This window comes from Homo sapiens, chromosome Y (assembly GCF_000001405.40).
Source record: "Homo sapiens chromosome Y, GRCh38.p14 Primary Assembly".
NCBI classification, from domain to species: Eukaryota; Metazoa; Chordata; class Mammalia; order Primates; family Hominidae; genus Homo; species Homo sapiens.
Window position 1 is genome coordinate 6,300,031 of NC_000024.10, and position 6,857 is coordinate 6,306,887.

The 6,857-nt window shown below is 47.4% G+C and overlaps 1 pseudogene; it reads right to left on the minus strand.

Annotated features, from left to right (window-relative positions):
* On the minus strand, positions 4,569 to 5,087 carry TSPY19P (testis specific protein Y-linked 19, pseudogene; annotated as a pseudogene).

Here is a 6,857-nt window from a genome sequence, read left to right on the forward strand (position 1 = left end):
GCTTTCTATTTCAATCTTCAGAGAAATAATATTTATGTGTGAATGTATGATGCATAGGCAACTATTATGAACAAAATTATGTAGACTGCACTCTGTCTGCCACTAAAAGCTAACAGATATATGTACATCCAACACATTAAAAAAATCTGGTACATTCTGCTGGATTTTCTTTTCTTTTCCATTTTATATCTCATTTTCAGGTATTTCACAGTGGCCTTCTTAGATTTGAAAAGGCTAAAAATTTTAAATAAGGAATATACAATTCTCTTGTTAATTTTTATAATTACTTTAATTTTTTGGAAAGTGTATTAAAAGTAAATGTTTATAGATGAATATAAAAGAATATCGTATGTGAACACTTCACCCAAATGAAAGAATATTTATTTATTCTATTTAGAATTCTCTCTAGTAGGATTTCCTTCTCTGCAGGTAGCTGGCTACAGGGATCTACCAAAACAAATCTATTTCTGCAGTAAATACCAACACTTGGTTACTCAGGAAATAACTCTTTCAGTCTGCAAAACACTACATATCTTTTCCCTGAGCAGGATAAATTCTTATACAGTTTTACTGTTCTACTAAAATTTCAATTAAAGTTAACCATTTTCATTTTTATTGCAAATAAAATCTGGTTACTTTCTAATTACTTGCCCGAAATCTATTCTCTATAACTTTCTAAAATTACATAGACATACACACACCCATACAAAAGAAACAGTACAACTGGAAGAATAACCAATGTGTGCATGTGTTCTGTTTTAAAAAAATTTCTACTGTACTATTTGCATTAAGGTTATAGTTGTAATTCAATCAATGACCCATTTTAAATGAGTGGCTAGGACATCACTGGAGAAAGTGGGTGCAATGCAAGAAACATTTCCCTATGCATTCACTTTATTTGTAAATACATTTATACTGTATAGTTGAAGTGGTTAACTTTGTCGTCAAAGACTGATACTGGCAAAAGTTTTGTTTCTTAATATGCTCTTCTTTAATTTTTTCCAGAATGTTTCAAAATGTCATTCATATATTTATTCTAATTTCTTCTGGGAATAGATAGCTAAAGAAAAATGGAGAAAACCATTTTTTCCTATAAGTTTATCATCTCTTGAGTGTCAAACTTGTCATGAAAGGAGAGATGCATCTGCTGCTCTTACTTTAAGACCAGACTTTCCACCAATAGATTATAAATGTGAAAATATCTGCCTACTTAAAGCCACTGTTCTGAAGAAAACACTATTACAGTCTGAGATTGAACCCTAAGGATTGGCCTTGGGAACTTTGAGATTTTGGTCAACTAATTTCTAAGCTAATTTCTAAGGATGATCTCAGTTGCAAGAGTTATTGACTCTTTAGTCAAACACTCTATCACAGAAAATCTAACCTTGTGGGCCATTTGGTTATGAGACGGTAAAAAATAATAAAAATATTACTGGGATGCAGATAGCCAGTACTATAGCTCTTCAAGGAAAAATACTCTCAGTAACAATATGAAAGTTTGTCTGAATTTCTATTTCCACACTATGATTATTATGCCACATTTTGTAGCATTTCTGTAAATTATTTCTGGTTTTGAAAATCTTTACTTTTGAATGAGGATTTGTCTTTAAAAATTAATATTGTTCCATAGGACCATTTGCTTGTATAAATTATGCAACATTTTATGGGAGCTCATACATGGACATCTCATAGAAAGCAAGTGATGAGACAGATGTTTGAGATGCATTAGGGTGGATGAAGCGGAAGCACTGTTTCTACTCTCTGGGTCTCTCACTTCCAATAAGACAAACTACAAAATAATTTCATATAAGAGTTTAAAAAAGAATGACTCAATCTGTTGTGTCTGATTGTTGTTTTGTATCCCATAAACACTTTATGCTATATCTAAGACTTAAGGTGTTTTAAACATTAGATATTGTCTTTAGGACACCAAGTGGAGGCAGGGCAACACAAGCAGGTGCTGCCTGGGGGATCTTATCTAATGAAAGAAGTCAGCAACAGGCAGCTGAAAGGGTAGTGGTCCAGTGCCAGGTGTTTAGCTGAGACTTGTATAAGTTTCTCAGAAACTCTCACAAGTATCTGAGGGAAATGAAACTGGTTTACCAATGCTCTTTTAAAAAAATCAGCTAAAGAACATCCTATAGTGTCCTGAGGAGAAAAGTGAGCAAGGCACATAATTTGAGATAGGAAAAATAGTAGGTGATTGCAGGAGCATAGAAAATCTCAGACAGGTGTTTCACATGACTAGCAAATATACACTGTTAAAATAGCCACATAAAGTAGGAGATGATAAGACTGTGGAAAACCAGGGTGTGGGCAAATCTGGCTAGGAACAGCTGGTTGAAATTCAACATGGTGTGGAATTTCATCTAGGTTTCGCCTTAGAGAAAATAGCCAAAAATTCACTGCTACTACCATGCAGCTCTGCTACTACCATGTAGCAGAGCAACTAATCAAAGGCAGCAACTGCCTAACTATGGCTGGTTCACATGTGAAAAACAGAAATCCCTTTTTGTTTAATTCATGCTTACTTTTTTCTGCTATATGAAGTAAAACACATTCCTTAATGACAACATGTTTCATTTTCTATCTTACTCTTCACCATTTATTTTCTTCTCACATTACTTATAATTTGTAACTTATTTTGTCAAATATATGAAATGAGGTAACACGGCAGTATTATAGAAAGCACACTGCATTGAAAACAGACTTATATTGAAACGGGAAAACATCGCTTTTACCCTTCCCAATGGAGCTTGCAATGAGGACAGGTTGTGGGGCTCTGCTCCCAGGCAGTGTCTAGGGATGAATGTTCACAGATCTGGAATTGCCAGAGGTCATGTGTTACATGGTGTTATTTTAGTTTATCCATCCGTAGGTGGCTTGAGTTAGTCAGCTCCATCAGACACCCTGCCTTACTGCAAACACAGAGGGCTATCTGAATCCCGGGGTTTCTTGCCTTGGTGTACCTGAAGAATTGGCTCCCACGTGGGCTTGAAGAATAAGTGCCAGGTTTCATTGAGTGGATGCTCTCAGCAGATAGATGGGGACCCACAAGGGAGATGGAGCAGGAAGGTCGGTTTCCCTTGGAATGGGGCAGCTCTGGACTCTCTTCCCACAGCCCCATGGGACTCCATGTTCTTCTGAGGTGGATGGCCTGCCACCTCTGTCCTTGTGCTTTCCTTCCTCTGGTGTCTTCTCAAGGTCCAGTTGCTGCGTCTTTTTCTGCTGATGGTTCCTCTCGACATCTGCGGCTATGTCACTGCCTGCTAGGGTCTCCAGGTTTCTTATATCACAGGATGGAGGTGTAGCAGGCCAGGGTGGTCTTGGGAAATGTTCCTCTCAACATCTGCGGGTATGTCACTGCCTGCTAGGGTATCGGAGTTTCTTATATCACAGGATGGAGGTGTGGCAGGCCAGGGTGGTCTTGGGAAATGCAACATTTGGACAAGAAAACAGAAGTGTTTGTCCTCACCTATGTGAGTGAACACAGGTCTGAGGGTGGAGCCCTAACCAAGGACCATGCCCTCCCCTACCCAGCACTTCTCTACCCCCTTCCATATCAATAGTTTTTATTTAAGTCTCCAAAAATGATACCCAAATTCTTTAGAGAAGACAATTGGAGGAAATAGCATTAGAATATTCTAGGATTAGGGTCACTAAATAGAAAATGAAAACAGAGAGCATGTCCTGCAGGCCATGGAATCACTGCAGAAACATATCCCCTGCTGAGAAGGAGAGGGACACACACTGGCTTCTCTAGTCTTCTTGTTCTCTAGTCTCTTCACTGTCACCCCTCAACTGAATTGAAACAGGAAGTAATTTTTATGGGAGCCTAGGAACCATGACTCACAGAGGCCAGGCCTCTCTATTACAGAGCAGTGCCAGGAGATGTGATTGATGTATCTGTGGGCATATAAACCCATAATCAAGGCTGACATCTGGGGGTGGTTCGCAATCTTGATTTAGGTCAAAGAGGCTTTAGATGCCATGGAAGGAAAAGCTAGAAACAACAGGGAAGAAGGCCTAAGAGCACCCAAAGGCAGGGGTATGGAATTTATCAGATCTGCTTCCATGTATGACCTCCCTTTCCCCTCTCCCTCCCCCTGAATTAAGGACTCTTGGGTTCACGGAGAGTATGTAATTCTGAGGCTGACTGCACTGATATTGGGAGGGGAAATTTGCAGAGAGTTCCTGGTGTCTAAGGAGTGGCAGAATCTGCTTATACCCAAAGACTCCCAGTCTCAGATCAGACTAGTAAGGGGGAGCAATCACACACCCTTAACAATATCTTGATTCACAGAAAAACCTGTTCTGGTGAGAACTCGCTTCTGCTCTTCAAAAAGATGCCCCAAACGTCTGATGCTCAGCATCACGAAGGGTTTCTCCGCTGCATGCAGGAAGATAGTACCCGCCTCTGCTCCGGCTTTTTACAGCCACATGTGTCCGTGGCAACCCACGTTTCTTCCCCAAATGGTCACATCGACGCCGAGCTGCCCATCAGTTACTTACACTTCCCCAAGAGCACCTCTCAACTAGATAGGCAGAAGAAACACTGAAAATGATGCAACACTGGCCCAGAAGCCAGGGATGCTCTGGATGATGGCGCCTCTGCGGTCCAGCTGGGGCTTGCGCCTCTGCTCCATCTTTCTCCTCTCCTGAGAAAAGGTATTCCTGGCTCGGGCATTAACCAGCTCCAGCCCCACCTGAACGACCAGCAGCTCCACCAGTGCAGACTCTGGGGTCATGGGCCCAGGGCCAGGCTGTGCCCGTTGGTCCTCCTCCTGCAGCTCCACGTCGGCCTCCTCCTGGGCCACCACCTTCGTCTCCGCCATTATGTTGTCTAACAGCAGCACAACTCCTCCTCCAAGGCTGCCTCCCCGCTCTGCGCACCGGGAGCCCCCTCCTGTACAGCCTCCATCCTGAAGACAGTGCCCTTCTCCGGACTCCCACAGACCACCGCCTGTGCTGCCTGACCCACACCACAGGAACCCTGCCGCTGCCCTTACTGGAGCCTGTGGGTCGGAGGGCCCTCAGGGCGCATGCACTGGGCTCCAGGCTCCCCCAACAGACTTCAGGCAAACGGCGCCAGGAGCCGCGCCAACACCACCCGCCTCCCCCCGCGGTCAATCAGTCGGAGGGCGGTGGGCGTCTCCCTGGGCGGCACCAACCCAGGTTGGCCTGCAGTCCCAGCCTCCTGGGGTAACCCTCCTCTGAAAAGCCCTTGGAGCTTGTGCCAGGTAGCGCTGCGTCCAGGCACACGTGGGCTGCGTGGCCTTTGGAATTGCGGGCATGGGAGACCTGTGCCCTAACTGACATCCTGAATGTGGCAAATCATTGACCCACAAGGAGCACATGAAACATCTCATTTCATTAGGCAAGCCAGGTAGATGATACGGAATATTGCAGATCCAGAGGAGAACTCTCTCTGGCTGCTGGGGCGAGGGCAGTGGGGGTGGCCTGGGGAAAGTGGGTCGGGGCCGACGCTAGGGAGGAAAGTAGCCGGGTTATGCTTGGGTGGAAGTCGTCGCCTCTAGAGGCCAGAACCCCGGCAAGCGCTCTCGCAGGTCGAGGCAAATACAGGCTCCGCGTACCATGCTTCCTCCGTGAGGATGCTGTACTCCGGGGAGCATTCCAAAGTGCCTCTCGTCCTATGCCCTAGGCACACCGGAGACCAGCCGCCAGGTTGGCCGTCGATATCCTGCGTGCACACAATTGTGCGCTGCCTTGCAGACCTAGAGGCTCCCGCACGTGCAGCAGCGGCTGCGGTGCCTGCTGGTGGGGCTCTGCAAGCCCAAGGCCTTGGGCTGTGGCTCCTGAGCTCCTGTGCGCAGTTGACCCTGCTGGGGACCTGAGCCCCAGGTCAAGTGCGGCGATCTGCGGGCCCAGCCGGGCTTTTCAGGAAACCTGCGTCTACGTACCTGTGGGACTAGGTTCTCAGCAGGGCGAGGTCTGTGGGCCTTCCGGGGAGCGGGCCTCCTGGGGAGCGGCCCCAGAGCCTAGTGGTGCCGGGGATGGGCTGGGCTGCACAGACCGGGGTCTGCGGGAGTACCCAGGAGGGCACAGTGTTCAGGCGGGAGGCTCTGCTGGAGAGGACGGCCCGGGTACAGAGCAAGGAGGCGGCCTTGAAAGAGGAGGCGGTGCTGATGGTGGAAGACATAATGGCTGAGAAGGAGGTGGTGGTTAAGGAGGAGACCAATGTGTAGTGGCAGAAGGAGGACCAGCGGGCACAGCCTGGCCCTGGACCCAGCAGAACCGGGCCGTGAATGGACTCTCTGGAGGTCCTTCACTTGCAGCTGGGCTGTGAATGGGCCAGGCCACAGGGCGTCTCCGGCTTCTGGGACAGAGCCATATCCTTGCAGCTGTCCATTCGGTATTGCTGGCAGCAGGGGATGGGCATCAGGCTTCGGGGTGGGGGGCATGGGGGCTGGGTTGGGGGAGGAGCCAGGAGGGAGGCGTATGGGGTGAGCCAGGAGGCAGGGGATGGGGCACAGGTTGGGAGCGGAGGCCAGGTTCCTGCAGATAGGAGGCTAGCTTGCTTGTGGGAGCCCCGGGAGCACGTGGTAGGGAAGGGAAGCCAAGCACAGTACTCACAAGGAGGAATCTCGGCGCCAAGGGTCCTTCACTCACAGCACAAAGTTAAGGGGCACGTTTCCCTGGGAAATGCCCTGGAGGAAGGGGAGTCTGCAAGCTCGGGCCAGCTAATGAACCACCCCCGCTTTTAGTGCCTGTTTCCACCAGGCTCACCCCAGAAACACAAGGTGCTAAAGACTCGAGTTTGTGGTGCATGGGGCTGCTGACCTCCTCAAGGCAGGTACCAGCTCCCCAGATAACGCTTTCTTTCCCCTGCGGGCGCT